We start from the raw sequence: 26,798 nt of genomic DNA on the forward strand, positions 1-26,798 counted from the left end.
ACCACTACATCCAGCTAATTTTTGTGTGTGTCTGTATTTTTGTAGAGACAACATTTCACCATGTTGGCCAGGCTGGTCTTGAACTCCTGACTTCAGGTGATCCGCCTGCCTTGGCCTCCCAAAGTGCTGGGATTATAGGCATGAGCCACCGCACCCAGCATGAAATCTGGTTGTTTAAAGTGTATCACCTCCCACCTCTCTCTCCTCCTCCTACACCAGCCATGTAAGATGTGCCTGCTTCCCCTTCTTCCATGACTGTAAGTTTCCTGAGGCCTCCCCAGCCATGCTTCTTGTAGAGCCTGCAGAACCATGAGACAATTAAAACTCTTTTCTTTATAAATTACTCAGTTTCAGTTTTTTTTTTAATGGCAGTGTGATAATGGACTAATACAGCACCTGATCCTCAGTCTGTCCAAGAATGTGACCCAGACCTCCCAGGCTGCAGTGCAGTGGCTTGATCTCGGCTCACTGCAACCTCTGCCTCCTGGGTTCAAGTGATTCTTTTGCCTCAGCCTCCCCAGCAGCTGAGACTACAAGCGTACACCACTGTGCCCAGCTAATTTTTGTATTTTTAGTAGAGACAGGGTTTTACCATGTTGCCCAGGCTGGTGTTTTTTGTTTATTAAGAGATGGGGTCTCCCTATATTACCCAGACTGAACTCAACCTCCTGGGCTCAAGCAATCCAGAAGAGCAAAAGAGAAGAGCATGGCATGGCCACAGCGAGTTCCACTTCTTTTTTTTTCTGAGATGGAGTCTCACTCTGTCACCCAGGCTGGAGTGCAGTGGCGCAACCTCGGCTCACTGCAAACTCTGCCTCCCAGGTTCATGCCATTCTCCTGCCTCAGCCTCCCAAGTAGCTGGGACTATAGGCACCCATCACCACGCCCAGCTAATTTTTTTTATTTTCAGTAGAGATGGGATTTCACCACGTTGGCCAGGATGGTCTCAATCTCCTGACCTTGTGTTCCGCCCGCCTCGGCCTCCCAAAGAGCTGGGATTACAGGCGTGAGCCACTGCACCTGGCCCAGCGAGTTCCACTTCTAAGTGGGCAAGGATCAAATACACAGAAAACGCACATGGATGGTGGGGCCAGCCAAGGGTGGGACTGTTGAGGCTGGAACTCCATAATGGCCAGCTTGTCTCATGCTGGACTTGAAGTTCTTGAGAGCAGGCTCCTACTTTTTTTTTTTTTTTTTTTTTTGAGACGGAGTTTAGCTCTGTCACCCAGGCTAGAGTACAGTGGTGCAATCTCAGCTTACTGCAACCTCCACCTCCCAGGTTCAAGTGAATCTCCTACCTCAGCCTCCCAAGTAGCTGGGATTACAGGCATGCACCAGCATGCCCAGCTAATTTTTGTATTTTTAGTAGAGACGGGGTTTTGCCATGTTGGCCAGGCTGGTCTGGAACTCCTGACCTCAAATGATCAGCCTGCTTCAGCCTCCCAAACTGCTGGGATAACAGGTGTGAGTCACCATGCCCAGCCTCTAATGCACAAGTGTTCAGCAATGAACGCATGCATCCATGAATGAATGGCTGCTTGACAGTCATTAGCAAATGATTGAAGTTCTGCACTTTCAATGGGAATATAGACTTACACTTTAAGGGACATTCAGTGGGAAGCATCAGGCAGCCATCAGCATTTATTTCTTAAGCATCTAACATATGCCAGGCTGTTCTGGACATTAGAAATTCCTTCCTTCCTTCCTTCCCTCCTTCCCTCCCTCCCTCCCTCCCTCCCTCCTTTCTTTCCTTCCTTCCTTCCTTCCTTCCTTCTTTCTTTTTCTTTCCAGACAGAGTCTCCCAGGCTGGAGTGCAGCGATACAATCATAACTTACTGCAGGCTTAAACTCCTGGGCTCAGTCAGCCTCCTGCCTCAGCCTCCTGAGTAGCTGGGACTACACATGCATGCCACCTCATATGGCTAATTTTTTAATTTTTGCAGATACAGGGCTTCACTATGTTGCCCAGGCTGGTCTCGAACTCCTGGGCTCAAGTGATCCTCCACCTCAGCCTCCCAAAGTGATAGGATGACAGGCGTGAGCCACTATGCCTGGCCAAGAAGGAAACTTTCCTCCAGGAACTCACATTCCAGAGGAGACAGAAGAGGAGTCAGAGAGATTGGAGAGTGGCCTGTGAGAAAAATTCTACATTTTACAGTAGAAGAAACTGAGGCTCAGCAAAGTACATACTTACCCAGGCCACACGGCTGGCAAACAGCAGTGCCAAGATTTGAACCCATGTCTGTGTGACCCCCAAAGAGCCACAGACAGAGATAAATGAAGGAGGGAGGTGGAGAGTTTTCTCCCTGGTTCAACGAACCCAAAAGATGTGTCTCAAAGACCAAAAACATCCGCACCTGGGGGCCGGGCACGGTGGCTCACACCTGTAATCTCAGCACTTTGGGAGGCCGAGGCAGGCAGATCACCTGAGGGCAGGACTTCAAGACCAGTGTGTCCAACGTGGCAAAATCTTGTCTCTACTAAAAACACAAAAATTAGCCGGGCATGGTTGCACCTACCTACAGTCCTAGCTACTAAGGAGGCTGAGGCAGGAGAATCACCTGAACCCAGGAGGTGGAGGTTACAGTGAGTCAAGAGCACCCCACTGCACTCCAGCCTGGGCAACAGAGCAAGACTCCATCTCAAAACAACAAACAACAACAACAAAAATATCTGCACCTGGGAAATGCTCAAAGCCTTTTGTATTTCATAGATCCCAGGCCTGAAATATATCAGCTGGTTCCTAATGGCAGTCAGGCTCTTGCCAATCTCAGCATCACACTGTGATTAAGAGCCCAGTGCTACATCTCCGTGCCGGCTTTTCATCTGTAACATGAAACTATACCTACCCCATAGAGTGTTACAATCATGAAATCAGTTAATAAGTGTAAAATTATTTAAGTTCCCAATACATCGTCAATACTCGGAAATTGTTATTATTACCTCCAGCTTTCGCTTTCTTTTGTGTCCTTTGTTCCCTGATGATTTCTCAGAAGTAACTCAATAAATTTGCCCTCCATACAAATCTCCATTCTCTTAGTCTAGTGATAAAATCCGAGGGTTGGTTGAGAAGGACAGAGAGCAACCTTGGAAAATGTGTTTGTATGACCAGCGCGGTTTCACAGGTTAAGTCATCTTCCCCTCCCGACACTTTTTTCAGGCTGGGTCTCGCTCTGTTTCCCAGGCTGGAGTGAAACAGCACAATCATAGCTCACTGCAGCCAGCCTAAACCTCCAGGGCTCAAGCAATCCTCCCAGCTTAGCCTCCCAAATAGCTGGGACAATAGGCCCTCGTCACAACTGCTGGCTAATTTTTTCGTATTTTGGAGCTCTCACTTTGTTGCTCAGGCTGGTCTGGAACTCCTGGGCTCCAGTGATCTTCCCGCCTCAGCTTCCCAAAGTGCAGAGATTACAGGCGTGAGCCACCGCGCCCTGCCTGGACACTTTAGAAATGGTGTTTTGGGCTGGGTTTAGGAGCTTTGAACTTTGGGGTTAGCCTGACCTCTAGTGGGCAAACAGAAAACAGTACAAAGCTGGCGGGAGATGCTCAAATGTGGCAAAGCGAAGTCCCCGCCCTGGCAGGACGCTTTATTGAGTAGCTGTTATTGACAGCTTACTAGATGTTGAATTTAAGCACCTCATTGAAGTCCACACAGATTGTAAGTGGCAGGGTTGGGGTCTCCCAAGCCTGTCTGGCCTCAGAGCCTTCTTGTTTATCCACAAGGCACAGCGCCTGGCTGGAGAAAACCATCACGTTGCATCCAGACAGGTGACCCAGTGGATAAAGCCCTTCCCTTACATCATTGAAACAACACACACATCCTGTGACAAAGGTTATTACACCCACTTCTTACACCTAGAAGCTGCAGTGCTCAACAGCCTAGCCCAAAGTCATACTCCGTCCTTCATTCAATGCTAATTTATCACTCAGTCTTCAGCATAGTGCTGGACACTGGAAATAAATGGAAAGCAAAACACACAAGATCCCTACCCTGCCCGCAAAAGGCTTGGAGATTAATCAGTTGCTACCAGAACTGAGGTCCCCGTTGCCCAGGCAAATGATCTTTTTGCTATGACACTAGGAATGCCAGCTGATTTTCTGGGTGGCTAGTTTTTGGTTTATTTGCTTGTTGTTGTTTTTTTGTTTGTGTTTTTGGTTTTTTTGAGACAGACTCTTGCTGTGTCACCCAAGCTGGAGTGCTGTGGTGTGATCTCAGCTCACTGCAACCTCTGTCTCCTGGGTTCAAGCGATTCTCGTGCCTCAGCCTCCCAAGTAGCTGAGACTACAGGCACCCACCACCATGCCTGGCTAATTTTTATTAGACGGGATTTCACCATGTTGGCCAGGCTGGTCTCAATCTCCTGACCTCAAGTGATCCACCTGCCTCAGGTGTCCCAAAGTACTGGGATTACAGTTGTGAGCCACTGCACCTGGCCTGGTCTTCTTACCTGGACTAGAAATTCAGCAAAGATGGGGATACTAGGGCTTAATTTTCTTTTACTCTATCCACAGATCCAGAGCCTGAGTCCAGTTCTGCCTGACTCCAAATTTCACCTTTTTTTCCCTTTTCTTTTCTTTTTTTTTTTTTTTTAATGAGACAAGGTCTTGCTCTGTCACCCAAGCTGGAGTGCAGTGGCACGATTATGACTCACTGCAGCCTCAATCTCCCAGGCTCAAGCAATCCACCCACCTCAGCCTTCCAAGAAGTTGAGACTATAGGCGCACACCACGCCTGGCTAATTTTTTTTATTTTTCATTTTTTAAAAATGTTTTGTAAAGATGGGGTTTCACTGTGTTGCCCAGGCTGATCTTGAACTCCTGGGCTCAAACAACCCTCCCATCTTGGCCTTCCAAAGTGCTAGGATCACAGGCATGAGTCACTGAGCCCTCTTTTCTTTTCCCTTAATTTTTATCTTAAGGACGGGATCTTGCTCTGTTGCCGAGACTAGAGTGCAGTGGCACAATCATAGCTCACTGCAGCCTCAGACTCTTGGCCTCAACCAATCCTCCTGTCTCAGCCTCTCACGTAGCTGGAACTATAGGCACAAATCACCACGCAATCTCACACTTTTAACCACTGCACTATAATACTTTGTCCCTGACTTCTGGGCACTGTTGTTTGATCTACAAAGTTCCATGTGGTTCCATGTACTTACATATGCGTTGTTGGTCTGCGAGTTGGTTTCCTGAGATAATTTTTTTTTTTTTAGACGAAGTCACTCTGTCACCCAGGCTGTAGTGCAGTGGCACGATCTCAGTTCACTGCAACCTCCACCTCCCGGGTTCAAGGGATTCTCCTGCCTCAGCCTCCTGAGTAGCTGGGACTACAGCAATGTGCCGCCCCACCCAGCTACATTTTGTAAAGTTAGTGGAGACGATGTTTCACTATGTTGGTCAGGCTGCTCTTGAACTCCTGACCTCAGGTGATCTGCCCACCTCGGCTTCCCAAAGTGCTGGGATTACAGGCGTGAGCCCCCTCCCACCTGGCCCCTGAGATAAGGATTAAAGTGCAAATCATTTATCTGAGAATTGACCCCAGGAAGCACTGTGGGGGAATGGGGAAGTATATTAGTCTGCTAAAGCTGCCAAAACAAAATGCCATAGACTGGGTGGCTTAAACAACAGGAATATACTTTCTCACAGTTCTGGAGGCTGGAAGTTCAAGATCAAAGTGCTGGCAGGGTTGGTTTCCTCAGAGGCCTCTCTCCTTGGCTGCAGGTGGCTGACCTCCTGCTGCCTTTTCACATGGTTGTCTGTCTGTGCAGCAGATGCCTGGTGTCTCTCGGTGTCCTAATCTCCTCTGTTAAGTACAACCGTCGGATTGGATTAGGGCCCACCCTTACAGCCTCATTTTAGCTTATTAACCTCTTGAAAAGCCCTATTTCCAAATGCAGTCACGTTCTGAAGCACTGGGGGTTGAGACTTCAACATGTGAATTGGGAGGGGAGCACACAGTTCAGTCCCTAACAGGAAGTAAGACGGGAGGGAAAGACACAATGAAAGGGCATTTGACTAAGTAGGTTACTGCTGTGGGGAACCGGGGCTGATCCCACTGGGTACATCTGAGACAGTTTAGGACACTCTCTCATGCCTGTAATCCCAGGACTTTGGGAGGCCGAGGCGGGCGGATCACAAGGTCAGGAGTTTGAGACCAGCCTGGTCAACATAGTGAAACCCCATCTCTACTAAAAATACGAAAATTTAGCCAGGCGTGGTGGCGTGTGCCTGTAGTCCCAGCTACTCAGGAGGCTGAGGCAGGAGACTCACTTGAACCTGGGAGACAGAGGTTGCAGTGAGCAGAGATTGCACCATTGCACTCCAGCCAGGGCAACAGTGCGGGACTCTGTCTCAAGAAAAAAAAAAAAAAACACTCTCAAGCTAAGTGTGATGGCTCACGCTTGTAATCCCAGCACTTGGGGAAGCCTAAACGGGCGGATCCCTTGAGTCCAGGAGTTCAAGTCTAGCTTGGGCAACATAGAGAGCCCTCATCTCTACCAAAAGAAAATGAAGAAATAAGGCTAGTGCAGTGGCACTCACCTGTAGTCCCGTCTACTCTAGAGGCTGAGGTGGGAGGATCGCTTGAGCCCAGGAGGTCAAGATTGCAATGAGCTGTGATTGCACCACCGTACTCCAGCCTGGGCCACAGAGAAAGACCTTGTCTAAAAAATAAATAAATAAAAATAAAATAAACACTCTCAGGGTGATCCTTCCCTGCTGAGGAACAAGGAGTGGGGTGTTTATCTTTCATTGCCCATCTGTGTTGTCAATGGCTGCTTCCAGGACATTAGCTCCCCAGCACTCACAGTCTAAGAGAAAGTATTCGGGCTGACAGATGCAGCTGCTCACAGCAGGATGCAGTCAGCATGAAAAGGGACAGTGAGTGCGTGAGGATTTGGGTGGGGCACTGACTGTCTTGCTATGCCACCCCATAAACCCCCTAAGTCCATCAGATTCTTTTTTTTTGAAATAGGATCTTGCCCTATCACCCAGGCTGGAGTGCAGTGGCCCAATTGTAGCTCACTGCAACCTTGACCTCCTGGGCTCAAGTGATTCTCCCACCTCAGCTTCCCAAGTAGCTGAGACTACATTTGTGCACCACCATGCCTCACTAACTTATTTAAATTATTTTTTGTAGAGACAGGGCCTCACGATGTTGCCCAGGCTGGTCTTGAACTCCTGGCCTCAAGTGATCCTCCTGCCTTGGCCTCTCGAAGTGCTGGGATTACAGGCATATGCCACAATGCTCAGCCTACCTGATTCTTATGTTATGGTACCTGGCTCTGAGCCAACTCTAGTTTGTTTCAACAGCAGATCTTTAAGTGATTTTTCTACCAATTGTATGTGCCAACAAATTGCCAAGTCAAGTCAGAGCATTTCCATTACAGCCTGCTTGGTTTCCTGTTTTAGCTACTCTTTCCATCCCAGAGCGGGAGCAATTTCACTGTCTCACATTCCAGCTCAAGCTTATGAGTCAGGACTCTTTGGGCCCAGTGCAGTGGCTCACGCCTGTAATCCCAGCACTTTAGAAGGCTGAGGCAGGCAGTTCACCTGAGGTCAGGAGTTTGAGAACAGCCTGGCCAACACGGTGAAATCCCATCTCTACTAAAAATACAAAAATTAGCCAGGCATGGTGGCATGTTTCTGTGGTCCCAGCTATTCAGGAGGCTGAGGCAGGGGAATTGCTTGAACCCAGGAGGCAGAGGTTGAAGTGAGCTGAGATTGTGCCATTGCACTCCAACCTGGGTGACAGAGCAAAACTCCATCTCAGAAAAGAAGAAAGAAAGAAAGAGAGAGAGAGAGAAAGAGAGAGAGAAAAAAAGAAAGAAAGAAAGAAAGAAAGAAAGAAAGAAAGAAAGAAAGAAAGAAAGAAAGAAAGAAAGAGAAAGAAAGAAAGAAAGAAAGAAAGAAAGAAAGAGGGAAAGAAAAAGAAGGGAAGAAAGGGAAGGGAAGAAAGGGAAGGAAGGGAAGGAGAAAAAGACAAAGAAAAAGAAAATCAGGACTCCTTGGTTCCAAGTTGCAGAACCTCAGTACAAATTGGCTTAAAAATAGAGAGGGTGGGTTTATAGGCTCAAGTTACTGAATATGCCAGGCACTACTGGATTGGGTGTCCAAAAAAGTAGCTTTGGGAATGTGTCCTTTTAAACCCCTTAGTTCAGTTTTTCTGTGCTGGCTTCTATGGAAGGCAGGCTGTCGCTATGAAGTGGCACAGATGACCCCAAGCAGCCCCAGGTCTACATCCCATGGATACCTCTACCAGTTAAGATGCCTTTTGGAGACTCATAACCAAAAAGCTGACTCAACAAGACAGACAGCACCCAGAGACAGAGTCCAGAGGTGGGCTGAGCTTTCAGCTCAGTTGATTCATCTGCACCAAGATGAATCTTTATTCTGTCTCTTTACTCTGCCCATTCACAGCACTGGCTTCATCCTCGATCTGGCTTAAATGTATTAAAGCATCCTTTTCAGAAGCTCCTAGCAAGACTTTCCTTGCACCTCTTGGCCCAAATTGATTTTAACTTGTCCACCCTTGAACTAGTCACTGCCAAGAAAATGGATTATTATGATTAACTTAAGATAATTATCTGGGGGTAATGAATTTTAGAGAGTCGACCACTATGACCACCAAGAGATGTGTCTTTCTTAATATTTTCTTAATATTTTCTCTGGCTTACTATATTGTAAAAATATAGTATATGATATATTTACCATACAAAATACGTATTCATCAACTGCCTATGTTATTGATAAGATTTCCAGTCAACAGTGGGCTATTAGTATTAATAGTTAAGTTTTGGGGAAGTCATAAGATAACATTTGCATTTTCAACTGCATGGAGGGTTGGTGCCCCAAACCTTCATGTTGTCCAAGGGTCAACTGTATATAAATTATGTTTTGTTTATTTTTTTAGAAGACTACTCTTCTTCTTCTGGTTCACATTCTCTCATGACACGCTTGACTCTTATGGGTTCCAGCGGAGTCATGGGTCCATCCATGAACCATGGCAGTGACTCTGACTGGCCAGGATTGGGTCCTACTCCTAACCCTGGAACCAGGGGACTGTGCTCAGCACCGCTAAAGCTGCATGGACTGAGAGTCAGTGAGGAGTAGCTCTTCAAAGAAAAAAAAAAAGTTCTTAAAGCAGAAAAAAAATGAAAACAGGTGCTGCTCAAGGAAAAATAACAAGTGTCCACTATTATCCCACTCCATTTGAGAGACCAATAAAGACTTTAGATAGCTTTAGACAGGTGGAGATCAAGAGTTCTGAACCCAACAGTGTGAGGCTCTGCATCCAGGAATCCAGGCTTCTAGTCAACTCCTGACCTTAGACTTCAGATTTAATAGGTTGCTGCAAAAGTAGTTGCAGTTTTTGCCATTACTTTTAAAGTTGGACTTTTCTCTCCTCTCTCTGCCTAAATTCCAGGCTGGACCACCTGCATACACCTAGAATCTTGCCTAGTTTAATATTCCCTCTCTGTAACTCAGGGATCAGAATCTCACCCTTGGACCCCAGCCTGGATGCCTGGGGCCATATCACTTCTGATAACCTATTTACCCATCTACCTTCCTGCCAGGGTCTCCAAATATCACCTCCTGGATTCCCCAGTGACCTGCTCCACCTGCCTGAGTGACCTGGCAGAGATGGCCGCCTTTTGATGGGAAACAAGACATTAGTATGGTCTTGTTGGTAAAGACAAGATGTTGGTAAACAAGACATTTATAATAACTCAGACAATTCCTCCTTCCATTGGAAGATAGCCTGGCTCCATGGGGCTACTGGGACCTGACAAGTTATGTTTAGCACTACTGTGTTTTGTTTCCTGGTTCTCAAGTTGTGGCAGAGATTCTTCAGGTTCTTACCCAGCCCATTTCTTCTTCCTCCTGAGCACAAAACTGGACTATATTTCCCAGCCTCCCTTGCAGTTAGGAGTAGTCATGTGACTGAGTCTGGCCAATAAACTGAGCATAAGCAAGGCACCACTTCCAAGACTGGCCCAGTGAAACCTCCTACATGCTGTCTTCCATTGTTTTTCCCCATCTCCCAGTTGATTAGAAAAATTCAAGATCCTAAATGGGATCTGTACTAGTCAACTCAGGCCGCCATAACAAAACACCATCAACTAGGTGGCTTCAACAACAGAGATTTATTTTCTCACAGTCCTGGAAGTTGAAAGTATGAGATCAGGACACGGTGGCTCACGCCTATAATCTCAGCACTTTGGGAGGCTGAGGTGGGTGGATCACCTGAGGTCAGGATTTCGAGACCAGCCTGGCCAACATGGTGAGACCTTTTCTCTAATTAAAAACACAAAAATTAGTCTGCATGGTGATAGGTGCCTGTAATCCCAGCTACTCAGAAGACCGAAGCAGGAGAATCGCTTGAACCCAGGAGGCAGAGGCTGCAGTGAGCCAAGATGGCACCACTGCACTCCAGCCTGGGTGACAGAGTGAGATTCTGTCTCAAAAAAAGAAAGAAAGAAAGTATGAGATCAGGGAGTCAGCATGTCAGGTTCTGGGGAGGGCCCTCTTCCTGGCTGGCTGACAGCCACCTTCTCACTGTGTTCTCACATTGGCAGACAGAGAGAGAGCCCTGGTGCCTGCTCTAGCGTCTTTTCTTATGAGAACACTACTCCCATCATAAAGGCGCTACCATGGTGACTTCCTCTAAATCTAATTAGCTCCCAAAGGCCCCATCTCTAAATTCCATCACACTGGGGGTCAGGGCTTCAACATATGAATTGGGGCGAGGAGAGCACAATTCAGTTCATAGCAGTGGTCCCTGAATGACCTGCCTTCTATTACGTTGTAAGAAATACATTTTTATTGTGTAGAACACTGAGCTTTGGGGAGACCTCTCATTACAACAGCTCATGTTATTCACCTTAACAGATGCATCAGATCAATCCTAGCTCCTATTCCCTCACCTTAGTGAATAGAGCTAAGCCCACCAGACCAACAACTCCAAATGCACACATGTGTGTGTCTGTGTGTGTGTGTCTGTGTGTGTGTTTTCAGAGCCTCATGCTCTGCCAGCCAAGCTAGCTGGGTGCAAATTTGTGAAGAACATAAAATATAAGGTCTTACTGCATCTATTCTTGCCCTCTTCTCCAATCACTTCCCCACACAGAATCCCAAGTGGCCCTTTACAATGCAAATGTAATTATATCACTCCCCTAATCAAAATCTTCAGCATCTGCCTCTTGCTCTTTGGAAATCTTCACCAGGGCAAATCAACACAGCCCCTGAACTGAACAAGCAGCTGTTGATCTGGCAGATGAGTTCTATTCTTTTTTTAAATTCTTTTTTGAGACAAGGTCTGGCTTTGTCAGCAAGGCTGGAGTACAGTGGCATGATCACGACTCACTGCAGCCTCAACCTCCCAGGCTCAAGTGATCCTCCCACCTTTGCCTCCTGAGTAGCTGGGACTACAGGCACACACCACCACGTGTGGCTCATCTTTTTATTTTATTTTATTTTGTAGAGATGGGGTCTTGCCATGTTGCCCAGGCTGGTCTCACTCTCTTGCCCTCAAGCAATCTTCCCACCTCAGCCTCCAAAAGTGCTAGGATTATAGGCATGAGCCACTGTGCCCAGTCAGATGAGTTCTTTTCAATCCCCATCAGATAGGCGAGTCTCGAGCAGTTCAATTCACTTGGGACAGACAGTTGTACACATTTGAGGTCTAGCCCAGAGCTATAGTAACTCTCCTGCTGTCTGTCACAACATAGTCCCAAGGGGCCTTGATCTTCTGGGCCTCCCACAGAACATCCCTCAGGTCCACTATATTGATGACGCCATGTCAATCAGACCTGGTGAGCAGGAAGTGGAAGATATCTGAACATTCTGGTGTGCCACAGGATGGTAGATAAATCCTACAAAGATCCAGGAACCTGTCACATTGGTGAAGTTTTCCTTGCAGCCTAGTGGTCCGGGGCATAGAAAGACGTCTCCTCCAAGACAGAGGAAAGAATATTGGACCATGCACTTACTTCCTTGTTTTTTGTTGTTGTTGTTGTTTTTTTTTTTTTTGACAGAGTCTCAGCTCACTGCAACCTCCCCCGCCCCGGTTCAAGTGATTCCTCTGCCTCAGCCACCTGAGTAGCTGGGATAACAGGTGCGCACCAGTGCGCCCAGCTAATCTTGTATTTTTAGTAGAGACAGGGTTTCACCATGTTGGCCAGGCTGGTCTCACCTAACCTCAGGTGATCTGCCCACCTCGGCCTCCCAAAGTGCTGGGATTACAGGCGTGAGCCACCGTGCCTGGCCTGCACCATTCACTTACTATCACTAAGAAAAACCTAGCATTGGTCAGGCACGGTGGCTCACACCTGTAATCCCAGCACTTTGGGAGGCCAAGGCAGGTGAATCATGGGGTCAAGAGATCGAGACCAGCCTGGCCAACATGGTGAAACCCCGTCTCTATTAAAAATACAAAAATTAGCCGGGCATAGTGGCACATGCCTGTAGTCCCAGCTACTTGGGAGGCTGAGGCAGGAGAATTGCTTGAGCCAGGGAGGTGGAAGTTGCAGTGAGCCAAGATCCCTCCACTGAACTCCAGCCTGGTGACAGAACAAGACTCCGTCTTGGAAGAAGAAAAAAGAAAAAAAGAAAAACCTAGCATTAGCAAGGTCTTTGGTGTTTTAGAGACAGCTCATACCATCCTTTGGGCTCCTGCTTCTTGCTAACTCAGAAAAAAAAATATTAGTTTTGAAGTAGACGTAGAGTGAAATAGAGCTTTGTAGTAGGTTTCAGCTGCAATACAAATGGTTCTGCAACTTGGGCCATGCAGCATGGCAGGTCCCATGGCATAGAGCTATCTGGGGTGGAAAATGACACCATGTGGAATCTCTGGCAAGCCCCACTAGAGAGTTACAACAAATACCCATAGGGTTCTGGAGCAAGGCCATGCCATCTGCAACAGAGAACTCTTCAACATTGGAAAAAGCAGCTCCTGGCATGCTACTGGGCCCTAGTAGAGATGGAGTACTTAACCATGGGATGCCTATCGTGAGCCAGTAATTGTCAGACCCACCAAGTCTTTAGCTTGAAAAGTACAGCAGAAATCCGTAGTACAGTGGAAACAGCACCTTCAGGGTCAGTCCTGGGCAGGTCCAAAGTTCAATTAAGTTACAGAAAGATGTGACCCAGACCTACATGTTCCCTGCCTCATTGCTCTGATGCCTTCCTCAGCTCATGCTTACATCTTCATGAAGGGTTTCTTTTTTTTTTCTGAGACAGAGTCTCGCTCTATCGCCCAGGCTGGAGTGCAGTAGCGCGATCTCGGCTCACTGCAAGCTCCGCCTCCCGGGTTCATGCCATTCTCCTGCCTCAGCCTCCCGAGTAGCTGGGACTACAGGCACCCACCACTACTCCTGGCTAATTTTTTTTTTTTATTTTTAGTAGAGACGGGGTTTCACCATGTTAGCCAGGATGGTCTCGATCTCCTGACCTCGTGATCCACCCACCTTGGCCTCTCAAAGTGTTGGGATTACAGGTGTGGGCCACCGCGCCCGGCCAAGGGTTTCTTATGTACAGTTGATGGAGAAGGAGAGACCCCAAGCCAAGTTTATGCACGGGATGTCTCCTCTGTTGGTGAGAGCTGAAGATGTCCTGCTGCTACACTAGACTCCCAGGCAGGGGCAGCTTAGGAAGGCTGGACAAGCTTTGGATGGTATACCCGGCCATCGACTTTGTGAGAAGAGAGAAGTTGCCTGACATGAGCATATATGCAGACATCTTGGCAGTGGTGAATAGCTTAAATGGTTGGCAGGGAGCCTTGAAGGAGTGAGATTGGAAGACAGGAGAACCTGAAGCAGAAGTATGTAGATGGATTTGTGGGAGAGGTGCCAACTGTGTGGATCTTCAAGTCTCATGTCAATGCCCACCAGAGGGTATCTTCCAAAAGACAGCATTAAACAACTGGGCGGACAGGCTGACTGGTCCAGTGGAGGCCCGCCAGATTGTGTACCCAGCCGTAACTGTGTTGGCACAGTGGGTCCTTGAATAGACTAACCATGGTGGCACAGACGGAGGCTTGCTAAGAGCTCAATAACATGGGCTCCCTTTCACCAAGACTAATCTGCTGGCTGGGCGCAGTGGCTCATGCCTGTAATCCCAGCCCTTTGGGAGGCTGAGGAGGGCAGATTGCTTGAGCTCAGGAGCTCAAGACCAGCCCAGGTAACACAGCAAGATCCCGTCTCTAGTAAAAATAAAAATTAAAAAATCAGCTGGGCATGGTGACACACGCCTGTAGTCCCAGCTACTCAGGAGGCTGAAGTGGGAGGATCGCTTGAACCCAGGAAATCGAGGCTGTTGTAAGCTGTGATTGCACCACTGCACTACAGCCTGGATGACAGAATGAGACCCTGTTTCCAAAAAAAAAAAAAAAGGCCATATGTGGTGGCTCATGCCTGTAATCCCAGCACTTTAGGAGGCTGAGGCAGGCATATCACCTGAGGTCAGGAATTCGAGACCAGCCTGGCCAACATGGTGAAACCCAGTCTCTACTAAAAATACAAAAATTAGCTGGGTATGGTGGCGCACACCTGTAATCCCAGCTACTCAGGAGGCTGAGGCAGGAGAATCAGTTGAACCCGGGAGGTGGAGGTTGCAGTGAGCCGAGATCACACCACAGCACTTCAGCCTGGAAGACAAAGCAAGACTCCATCTAAAAAAAAAAATGGGGGCAACTTGGCCCCCCAAGGGACCATAGGCAATGTGTGGAGATATTTTTGGTTGTCATAATGGAGGAAGGGATGCTACTAGCATCTAGCATATAAAGACCCAAGCATGTAATTAAACATCTTACAACGCAAAGGACAGTCTCCCACAACAAAAGATTGTCCAGCCTCAAGGTTGAAGAACTATTAGACTAAAGCCTGTTGTGCCTTTTCTCTTTTTTCTTTCTTTTTTTTTTTTTTTGATGGAGTTTTGCTCTTGTCACCCAGGCTGGAATGCAATGGTGCGATCTCAGCTACTGCAACTTCTGCCTCCTGGGTTCAAGCGATTCTCCTGCCTCAGCCTCCTGAATAGCTGGGATTACAGGCGCCCACCACCACACCCAGCTAATTTTTTTGTATTTTTACTAGAGACAGGGTTTCACCATGTTGGTCAGGCTGATCTTGAACTCCTGACCTCAGGTGATCCACCAGCCTCAGTCTCCCAAAGTGCTGGGATTACAGGTGTGAGCTACCAGTCCCGGCTTTTTTCTTTTCTTTTCTTTTCTTTTTTTTTAAGACAGGGACTTGCTCTGTCACCCAGGCTGAAGTGCAGTGGTGTGATCATAGCTCACTGCAGCCTTGACCTCCTGGACTCAAGCAATCTTCCCACCTCAGCCTCCTGAGTAGCTGGGACTACAGGCACACGCCACCATCCCTGGCTAATTTTTTAATTTTTGTAGAGATGAGTCTCGCTATGTTGCTCAGGATAGTCTTGAACTCCTAGGCACAAGTGATCCTCCTGCTTCAGCCTCCCAATGTGCTGGGATTTCAGGCGTAAGCCACCCCACCTGGTCCTGTTGTGCTTCTCTGACGGCCAGTCCAGCCTTGTAATCATAACGGTGATATTGAAGGCAGATCTTCATCTTGTTCCCCGAGCGTGTGTCCATGCTGCGGGGATAAGAATGTGATTTATCTAAACTCTTGCCACACTAGGGAGTATTAATTTGTTTACCCTCTGCTGGAGGCCAGGTGCTGGTATCCAGTAGAGGTCCTCCCGCGGAAAAGAGCAGACCACGAAAACACAATCTCATGGGAGTCCACTAGGGGGCAGCCATCAACAGCATTCACTTGCTAAAGTCGCTTCAAATCAAATGAAACTAAAGCTGGAAATCCACGGGCACAGGGAAAACAGACCGTTATCTCACCCCTTATGCAAGAATGAACTCAAACTGGATTAAATATTTAAACATAAGATCTGAAACTGCAAAACCACTATAAGAAAATATAAGGGATCGAAAGGAACCAAATAGGCCCGGTGCTGTAATCCCAGCACTTTGGGAGGCCGAGGAGGGCGGATCACTTAAGGTCGGCAGTTCGAGGCCAGCCTGGCCAACGTGGTGAAACCTCTCTCTACTAAAAATGCAAAAATTAGCTGAACATGCCAAGGTGCATGCCCTTAGTCCCAGCTACTCAGGAGGCTGAGGTGGGAGGATCACTTGAACCCAGGAGGTCAAGGCTGCAGTAAGCCGAGATCACCCCACTGCACTCCAGCCTGGGCAATAGAGCCAGACCCTGTCTCAAAAAAATAAACAAAACATAATTTATATACAGTTGACCTTTGGACAACATGAAGGTTTGGGGCACCAACCCTCCATGCAGTTGAAAATGCAAATGTTATCTTCTGACTTCCCCAAAACTTAACTATTAATACTAATAGCCCACTGTTGACTGGAAATCTTATCAATAACATAGGCTGTTGATGAATACGTATTTTGTATGGTAAATATATCATATACTATATTTTTACAATATAGTAAGCCAGAGAAAATATTAAGAAAATCAAAAGGAAGAGAAAAATTATTTACTATTTGTTAAGTATAAGTAGATTATCATAAAGATCTCCATCCTTTCAAAAGTCTTTTAAAAAAAAGAAAAAAAATTGCCTCAGGTCTAGGAGTCTTGAAAAAGAATAATTTATTAGAAAAAAAAAGAACTTCATGCTGAGTAGACTGAAGAGGAGGAGGAAAAGGAGGAGTTAGTCTTAACTGTTTCAAGGGTATTTTATGGTAGTAAATGACAAAATAGGCTACCATCTACATATATTTTATGCATTCATGCCATACCTATTTTTTAAATTTTTTCGATATTTCTAGGCTATGCAGTTTTTCTGCAAATTTCTTTTTTCTTTTTTCTTTTTCTTTTTTTTTTTTTTTTTTGGAGGCAGGATCTCACTCTGTCACCCAGCCTGGAGTGCAGTGGTGTGATCTCGGCTCACTACAACCTTCACCTCCTGGGCTCAAGTGATCCTCCCACCTCAGCCTCCCAAGTAGCTGGGACTACAGGCACACACCACCATGCCCAGCTAATTCTTTAATTTTTTGTAAAGACAGGGTCTCAATTTGTTGCCCAGGCTGGTCTTGAACTCCCAGCCTCAAGCAATTCTCCCACCTTGGCCTCCCAAAGTGCTGGGATTACAGACATGAGATACCACACCTAGCCTAAGTTTTTTCAAATTATTGCAAATCTCCTAAACATGTTCCAATACATTTATTGAAAAAAATCCATGGACTCAAGCAGTTCAAACCCAGGTTGTTCAAGGGCCAACTGCAGATAGATAGATAGATAGATAGATAGATAGATAGATAGATAGATAGATAGATAGATAGATATAATTTTGGTAGCATATTATACATTGGTTTTTACTGTGCTTTTCACTTGTCTATATATATCTTGGACACCTTTCCACAACAGTAAATAGTATGCCATCTAATTCCTTTTTTTTTTTTTTGAGACAGAGTTTCACTCTTGTCGCCCAGGCTGGAGTGCAGTGGCGTGATCTTGCCTCACTGCAATCTCCACTTTCCGGGTTCCAGCGATTCTCCCACCTCAGCCTCTCGACTAGCTGGGATTACAGGCATGTGACATCACGCTTGGCTGATGTTTGTATTTTTAGTAGAGACAAGGTTTCGCCATGTTGGCCAGGCTGGTCTTAAACTCCTGACCTCAAGTGATCCACCTGCCTCAGCCCTCCCAAAGTGCTGGGATTACAGGCATGAGGCAGTGTGCCTGGCCCATATATAGAATTGGGGTCTCCCCTTCCCCAGATCTCTCTTTTCCAGGATTCCCCCTGCCTCGATCTCCAGACACTGTGTTTGTGCATACCCTGCCCTCTGGTTTTTCCACATAAAACCAGGTTTTTTTTGCAGGGTTTAAGCTACTCCCAGACCTTGGCACAGACTTGCCCTGCCCTCAAAAACGAGGCACTCACCCGGCTTGTCCCAAGTGGCAGCACCACTCTAGCACCTGCCTGCTTGTGCTCACTCCTCAGTGCTTTCAGGTTTTCACATTTTTTCCAGAGTTTACAGTTGTTATCTGCACAGGGTTGATCCAGGATGGGAATGAATTTTTGCCTTACTCTTTTTTTTTTGAAGAATGGGGTCTTGCTATGTTGCCCAAGCTGGTCTCCAACTCCTGGGCTCAAACAATCCTCCCACCTGGGCCTCCCAAAGCACTGGGATTACAGATGTGAGCCACCGCGCCCAGCTTGCCTCACTCTTTAACTGCCACATTTCACCTTCAGAAATGTCACAACCCAGCTGGGCGCGGTGGCTCACACCTGTAATCCCAGCTACTTGGGAGGCTGAGGCAGGAGAATTGTTTGAACCCAAAAAGTGGAGGTTGCAATGAGTTGAGATTGTGCCACTGCACTTCAGCCTAGGCGACAAGAGCAAAACTCCGTCAAAAAAAAAAAAAAAAAAAAAAAAAACGAAAGAAAGGAAAGAAGGAGGGAGGGAGGGAGGAAGGAAAGGAAGGAAGAAAGAGAAAGATCACAACTCTTCAACCCTCCTGTCTTCAGAGCAACAGGTGATATGGGCCATCAGATCCCAGATCATTTGAGCAATTTAAGATGGAGTGTGGTTTTGGTTTTTGTGTGTGTTGACAAATAAAACACTGTCAGCATGACCTTGGAAGGGCCGCTTCACCTCAGTTCTCATTTATAAAACTGAATGTCAATGAGTCTTTCCTTGCAGGCTTGCGCAGAAATTCAATGAGAAAGCACAGTGATGGTTGATATTTTTGTGGCACTTACAGTGTACAGGTACTGCTGCTCAGGTACTTTATTCCCTGCCACAGCCCATCAGTGAGGTCCTCTGATTATCGGCTCCATCTGATGGTGAGGACATGAAGGCACAGTGAGTTTACGTGATTTGCTCAGTATCCTTCATGGAGTACGTGGTGGAGCTGGGATTTGAACCAAGGCCATGTGGTGCCTGCATCCGTGCACCTAATCATGTGGAACCTATAATGTGGGGTTTGTTTTTGTTTTGTTTTGTTTTGAAGAGTCAGTGTCAGGCCAGGTGCAGTGGCTCATGCCTGTAATCCCAACACTTTGGAAGGCCAAGGAGGGCCAATAGCTCAAGCTCAGGAGTTCGAGACCGGCCTGGGCAACATAGTGGGACTCCCTCTCTACTAAAAATACAAAAATATAGCCGGGGGTGGTGGTGCACACCTGTGGCCTCAGCTACTTGGGAGGCTGAGGCAGGAGGATCACTTGAGCCCAAGAGGTGGAGGTTGTGGTAAGCTGAGATCACACCTTTGCACTCCAGTCTGGGTGACAGAGCAAGACCCTGTCTCAAAAAAAAAAAAAAAAAATTGCAAAGAGCCAGTGTCTCACTCGTTGACCAGACTAGAGTGCTGTGGTGCAATCATAGCTGATCCTCCCGCCTCAGCCTCCCAAGTAACTGAGACTACAGTCGTGAGCTACCACGGCCAGCCGAATGTGGTGCTTCTTCATCCTGGGTCTGCATCAGAATCACCTGGGCTTCCCTCAAAGACCTGCTGAATCAGAATCTCCAGCCTCTGTATTTGGAAAAATCTCCATGCCTTGGCATTGAATCAGTGCCGAAATATGAACATCCTTACCTCCTGGTCTCCCTTTTCCTGATTTACAGGGGAGGATTGCTGCTGCCAGCCTCTTATGGGTTCTCAACCAAATTGCAGGCCTAGATTATTAGGGTAACCTCTGACCCATTCCTGATAGATCTATGTCACCAGCCTGAGCAACAGGTGGAACAGGCTCCAGGAGCTTCGGCAGGAAACAGCTGCCCCTGCCCCTTGGATCATCCATACCTGCGTGGCTGAAGCTGTAACTCTGGTCATGTGGCCTCTGGCAAAGATGCTATGAGCCATGGTGTGTGTCACCCAATCTCTGCATTCTAAATAAACCACACCTGGCAACCCCATGCTCTCCTGAGCCCCTGCAAGTTCCTGGAACCTCCCAGGATGCTCTTGATGATAATTACAGTTCAGTTGTAAGTTGAAGGACTTAGGAACCCACGGTACCAACCATACTGAGAATCCTGAACATTAAAATAGGAATGTCTTCAGTTCTCATACCCTTCTAGAACATTCCCTTCTCAAATCTAAATTCATTCACGTGTCTTTTATGATCCTACACTATCTGACCTCTGCTCATCTGTCAGGCCCAAGCCCTACCACTCCCCACAACCCCAACCCCAATAACCACACTTCATTCAACCACATTGGCCTTTTGACTCTTCCCTCCCCCTCCCCTTTTTTTGGAGGCAGGGTCTTACTCTGTCACCCAGACTGGAATGCAGTGGCATGATAAAAGCTCCTCGCAGCCTCGACCTCTGGGGCTCAAGCGATCCTCCCACCTCAGCCTCCTAAGTAGCTGGGACTACAGGCAAGCACTAACATGCTCAGTTAATTTTTTAGTGTTTTGGTGTTTTTTTGTTTTTTTTTTTTTGAGACAGAGTCTTACTCTGTCTCCCAGGCTGGAATGCAGTGGCACGATCTCCGCTCACTGCAAGCTCCACCTCCCAGGTTCACGCCATTCTCCTGCTTCAGCCTCCCAAGTAGCTGAGACTGCAGGTGCCCGCCACCACACCCGGCTAATTTTTTGTATTTTTAGTAGAGATGGGGTTTCACTGTGTTAGCCAGGATGGTCTCAATCTCCTGACCTCATGATCTGCCCACCTCGGCCTCCCAAAGTGCTGGGATTACAGGCATGAGCCACCGCGCCCAGCCAGTTTATTTTATAGAGACAGGGTCTCACTATGTTGGCCAGGCTGGCCTCAAACTCCTGAGCTCCAGTGATCCTCCCACCTCAGCCTCCCAAAGTGCTGGGATTACAAGTGTGAGCCACTGTGCCTGCCTAAATTTCTCTTGATCAAACCTCAGGGCCTCAGCACTTGCTGTTCACCCTACCAAGAAAGTTTTTCCCCTAGAACTTCCTATGGCTAACTCTTTCTTGTCAATCAAATGTCAAGTCAAATGTCACCTCTTCACGGAGGCCTTTTCTGACCACCCAATGTTAAGTCACCCTTGCTCTCTGCCTCCCCATCACTCTCCATCTCACTACCCTGCTTTATTGTCTTCCCAGCACTTACTGCATTCTAAAGCTGGGTTTTACCATGTTGGCCAGGCACAGTGGCTCACACCTATAATCCCAGCACTTTGGGAGGCTGAGGTGGTCGGATCACCTGAGGTCAGGAGTTCCAGACCAGCCTGGCCAACATGGTGAAACCTTGTCTCTACTAAAAATACAAAAATTAGCCGGGTGTGGTGGCGTGCGCCTGTAATCCCAGCTATTCAGGAGGCTGAGGCAGGAGAATCACTTGAACCTAGGAAGCGGAGGCTGCAGTGAGCTCAGATCATGCCACTGCATTCCAGCCTGGGCGACAGAGGGAGACTCCATCTCAAAAAAGAAAAAAAAAAAAGAAGGTCCTTGAATAATACATTGTTTCATTCAACATCAGTGGTTTCACCATAACTCAATCGCCAGCCGGGGCCACTATCTGGAATTCGCACACTCTCCCCCCATCTGCATGGGTTACCTCATTAGGTTTCCTCCGACATTGTAAAGCTGTGCCTGTTCGGGGAACCGGGCGTCTACATGGTCCCAGTGTGAGTGAGTGTGTCTGTGAGTGTGCCTTGTGATGGAGAGTGTCTTGCCGGGATGGGGTCGCATCACGCACCCTGGGCTGCCAGGACAGGCTCAGGCCACCCGAGACCGTGAACTGGAATAAACAGGAAAATAACAATCTTACATGTTTTTCTTAATCTTTCTTAAAAGTATGTATAGCTCACATTCATTTCAATGTTCAATAGGAGAAGTGTGTTGGTCTTTATTTAGAAGTTTGGTGATGTTTTTCTGACCAGAAATATGCCGTAAGAATTTAACTCTTGTTAATATCAATAAACCTATGGTAAAACTGGTTTTGTTATGTGTTGTTTCGCTTAAAGTCACAGTTTCCAATAACCTGTTAATGACGTTAGGTGAGGACTTACTGTGCCTGAGATGGGCACTGGTGTGACAGACACCATTAGGAGCACCTAACAGGGAGGGCGAGCTCACCCCCTGAGTTTGAACCCTGACTCCATCACTATTAGCGGGGGCCCTGGACCCACCTCTGGGATATATAACCTGAGGTTTCCTTCTGTAAGCCCGGGGTTTCTTCCTCTGTAAAACAGGGAGAAGAATCAGGCCTCCTTCACCAGGTCATCACAAGGATAAGTGAGATAGTACCTGTTAAGCCTGTAGTACAGCACCAGGCCTATAGGACCAGCAACCCCGGTTGCAGAGTTGGGGAGAGGAGGGCGGGGCAGATATTTGCTGGCAGCATCACTCACAAAGCCTGAGAGATGACCCAGATGAGCGAAGGCTTCCCCGTCTGCACTTCGTCCAGGGAGGTTCAGCAGTGCGAGGGGAGACTCCAGGCCAGCACTCTGCTTTAATCTATCAAGCTTGTCACTGCTGCGGAAGCCAGACAGAACCACTTATCAAGAGTCATTCTGGGGCCCCACAAATAATTCCCCAACCCCTGCCACGAGCTTAGGGAAGACACAGGTGAGGCAGACAAGGTCTGTGCCCTCTGGGAATCTTATCTCAAAGCTGAGACAAGATAAAAACAAAGATAATAGGAGACTCACTGTCGCAAGGGGATATGTTGGTCTGTTTACAGAGGGCCAGCTCTGCTCCTGTTCTCCACGGGAAATGTTAGCCACATGCAGGAAAATAGAGTTGGTGGAGTGGGGGAGACACTGCTCTCCCTGGCAAGACACATCCCGTTTTCTTGGAGGTTTTGATGTTGTTTTGTTTGTTTGTTTGTTTGTTTGAGACAGAGTCTCACTCTGTCACCCAGGCTAGAGTGCAGTGGCAAGATCAGAGCTCATTGCAACCTCCACCTCCTGGGCTCAAGCGATCCTCCCACCTCCGTCTCCCGAGTAGCTGGGACTACAGACATGCACCAACACATCCAGCTAATTTTTGTATTTTTTGTGGGAATGGGGTCTCACTGTTGCCCAGGCTGTTCTCAAACTCCTGGGCTCAAGCACTTTGGCTTCCCAAAGTGCTAGGATTACAGGTGTGAGCCACTGTGCCTGGTCTCTGGTTTAGTTTTGTTTTTATAATGTAACTTTTTTGTTGTTGTTGTTGTTGTAGAGACAGCATCTCACCTTATTGCCCAGACTGGTCTTGAACTGATGTCAAACAATCCCCCAACCTCGGCATCCTAAAGCACTGGTATTACAGGCATGAGCCACCACATCCAGCTCACATCCATTTTAAATGATGGCTCCTGTGTGACCTCAACTCTCTAAACTTCATTGCGTCATCTATAAAATGGGATAATATTGGGATGGATTCACAGTGTTGCTGGGAAGATTTAAGAATTCAGTGCAGTAAAAAGTGTTTGGCTCAGGGTATGGTGAACAGAAAATGCATGGTAAATGCAAGCAGGTGTTGTTTTGTTGGTGTTAGGTTTACCAAGTTGGAAGCACTTCAGAGAAACATGCCACATGAATTTATGTCCCAAACAACCCCTAAGTGGTGCTTGTGTACCAGGCACGATCATTAAATTGCCTTAAAAACTCTATGAAGGACTGAGCATGGTGGCTTATGCCTGTAATCTCAGCACAGGTGGGAGGATAGCTTGAACTCAGGAGTTTGAAACCAGCCTGGGCAACATAGTGAGATCCCATCTCTACTAAAAAAAAAATTAGCTGGGTGTGGTGGCATGAGCCTGTAGTCCCAGCCACTTGGGAGGCTGAGGTGGGAGGATCACCTAAGCCCAGGAGGTCAAGGCTGCAGTGAGCTGTGGTTGTGCCACTGTACTCCAGCCTGGGTGACAGAATGAGATCTTGTCTCAAAAACAAAACAAAACAAAACAAAAACAGCTGTATGAGGAAGGTACTTTTGTTATCTTTCATATCATTTTTTTACACATAACATAAAATTTATTCTCGCAACCATTTTTAAGTGCACAGTTCAGTAGTATTAAGTATATTGACACTGTTGTGCAACAGATCTCTAGGAATTTTTGTCTTGCAAAACTGAAACTCTGTATTTTTTGAATACCATTTCCCCATTTCCTTCTTCCCCACCCCTCACTGCCAGTCCCTGGAAACCACCATTCTACTTTGTTTCTAGGAAGGGACTATTTTAGCCCTGTTTCACAAATCAAGAAACCGAATCCAGCTACATAATTTGAGGGACTCAGAGTAAAATAAAAACATGTTTAAAAAAATTTTTTTTTTCTGAGACGGAGTCTCATTCTGTCACCCAGACTGGAGTGCAGTGGGTGCAATCTCAGCTCACTGCAACCTCCGCCTCCCAGGTTCATGCAATTCTCCTGCCTCAGCCTCCCAAGTAGCTGGGATTACAGGCGCACACCACCACGCCCGGCTAATTTTTGTATTTTTAATAGAGATGGGGGTTTCACCATGTTGGTCAGGCTGGTCTTGAACTCCGGACCTCAAGTAATCCGCCAGCCTTGGCCTCCCAAAGCGCTGGGATTACAGGCGTGAGCCACTGTACCTGGCCCCCAGTGTTTAAACTGCTCTAAAGAAGGTCAAGACAGTGACAGTAGAACATTAACTGAAGCACAGAGCCCTTCTGAATAGTCACACAGGGCCGGTGAAGCTGACCGTGGAGAAAACCACGGGCCAGAGAAGTTGTATAACTTTCCCAAGGTCACACAGCAAGTGTTGGAGCCAGGATTCAAGCCCAGCCTCTAAAATGACATGACTCCCTTTACTTTTTGAAAACTCCCTGCAGGCAGGGGCTTTGATCTTATCACCACCGATTGCCTGGCTCCCTCTCAGGGCTTGTCACACATTGGCACTCATGACGTATTTCATATTTGGAGGAATGAATGAGTAGGTCACATTCACCCAAGAGCCAAGCAGCTTCTTGGAGGTTCTTTTGTTTTGCCTTGGCTCTGGCACAAGTAACACTCCCATTTCTGCCCCTCCTTCATGTTTACTTGAAGCCTTGAATTCCTAGAAAAAGCAAAACTGGCATGCCTGTCTACATGTAATGGCCACACGCCGGACACTTTTATGAGGCTCCACCTTTCCAGAGCATTCCTAGCCTCTGAGTCCCACTGTGATGGGGTGGAATGAAGCTAGAGGACATGAGATAATGGAAGGTCACTGATGGCATACCTCACTCCAGGCCCCCACATCACCTGAAGTCTGATGGCCAAGTCCCTGGTCTGATCCTAATGCAAGGAAACTAGAACCAACTTATTAAAGCAGAAGGAAAAAATGGGTTTTATTTGTGGTTATGGCATTAAGTGAAAAAACAGCTAATGCTGCTGGGCACAGTGGCTCAGGCCTGGAATCCCAGCACTTTGGGAAGCAGAGGTAGGAGGATCACTTGAGCCCAGGAGTTTGAGACCAGCCTGGGCAATATAGTGAGACCCCACCCGTACAAAAAATTTAAAAATTAGCCAGGAGTGGTGGCACGTGCCTGTGGTCCCAGCTACACAGGAGGCTGAGGCAGAAGGATCGCTTGAGCCGAGGAGGTTGAGGCTGCAGAAAGCTGTGGTTGTGCCACTGCACTCCATCCTGGGCAACACAGCAAGACCCTGTCTCAAAAAACAAACACACACACACACACACACACACACACACACAAACACCACCAGCTAATGCCATAACCGTAAATAACTAGATCAGCCAAATTTAATCTGGATTAATCTAATCAGAGTAATCTAATCTTAACTAGATTTAGGGAGCTAGCCTAATTATTGTTTCTTTGAAAGGAACTACATTTTTCTGTCTGAATGTTTATAAGATGCTTTGCTGGCAGTCGGTTCGTGGAGGGGGGGAGAGAAGGAAACTCAGGAAAACATAAATGAATTAATCATAATCCTAATGTCGTAACACCTCATCATCATTGCCCTAGGCATGACTCTCTGTTAGTTTAATTATTTTTTCTTTATTTATTTATAGTAAAATAATGAACACTTGTGAACTCACTCACTCACCCAAGAACAACATCATTACCAACAACTCACATCTCTGGGAGGGGACATGGAGGGATCGGATGGTTTCCTCCTATCTCATCTTTCCATCTCAGAGGTAATCACCATCCTGAATTTTGTTTGTTTGGTGGGGGTTTGTTTGTTTGTTTGTTTTTGAGACATAGTTTCGCTCTTGTTGCCCGGGCTGGAGTGCAGTGGCACGATCTCAGCTCACCACAACCTCTGCCTCCTGGGGGGTTAAATGATTCTCCTGCCTCAGCCTCCCAAGTAGCTGGGATTGCAGGCATGTGCCACCATGCCCAGCTAATTTTGTATTTTTAGTAGAGACGGGGTTTCTCCATGTTGGTCAGGCTGGTCTTGAACTCCCGACCTCAGGTGATCTGCCCGCTTCGGCTTCCCAAACTGCTGGGATTACAGGCATGAGCCACCGCGCCCGGCCTTTTTTTTTTTTTTTTTTTTTTTGATACAGAGTCTCACTCTGCCACCCAGGCTGGAGTGCAGTGGTGCGATCTCAGCTCACTGCAGCCTCTGCCTTCCGGGTTCAAGTGATTCTCCTGCCTCATCCTCCGGAGTAGCTAGGATTACAGGCAAGCACCACCACACCCCACTGATTTTTGTATTTTCAGTAGAGACAGGGTTTCACTATTTTGGCCAGGCTGGTCTCGAACTCCTGACCTCTAGAGATTCGCCTGCCTCAGCCTCCCAAAGTGCTGGGATTACAGGTGTGAGCCACCATGCCCAGCCCCTGAATTTTGTGTTGTTTAGTCACCCTTTTAAAAGAAGTATTAAGGTCTAAGTGCCATGGCTCTTGCTTGTAATCCCAGCACTTCCAGAAGCCAAGACAGGA

At 47.2% G+C, this 26,798-nt stretch overlaps 1 annotated feature.

The window, feature by feature from the left end:
• Positions 15,575-15,869: an enhancer, noted in NCBI's record as "tiled region #9346; HepG2 Activating DNase unmatched - State 4:PromP, and K562 Activating DNase unmatched - State 4:PromP". NCBI's record gives its function as "activates a minimal TATA promoter and a strong SV40 promoter by Sharpr-MPRA in HepG2 and K562 cells {active_cell/tissue: HepG2 | K562}" and the evidence as "EXISTENCE:reporter gene assay evidence [ECO:0000049][PMID:27701403]".

This window comes from Homo sapiens, chromosome 16 (genome assembly GCF_000001405.40).
Source record: "Homo sapiens chromosome 16, GRCh38.p14 Primary Assembly".
NCBI lineage: Eukaryota > Metazoa > Chordata > Mammalia > Primates > Hominidae > Homo > Homo sapiens.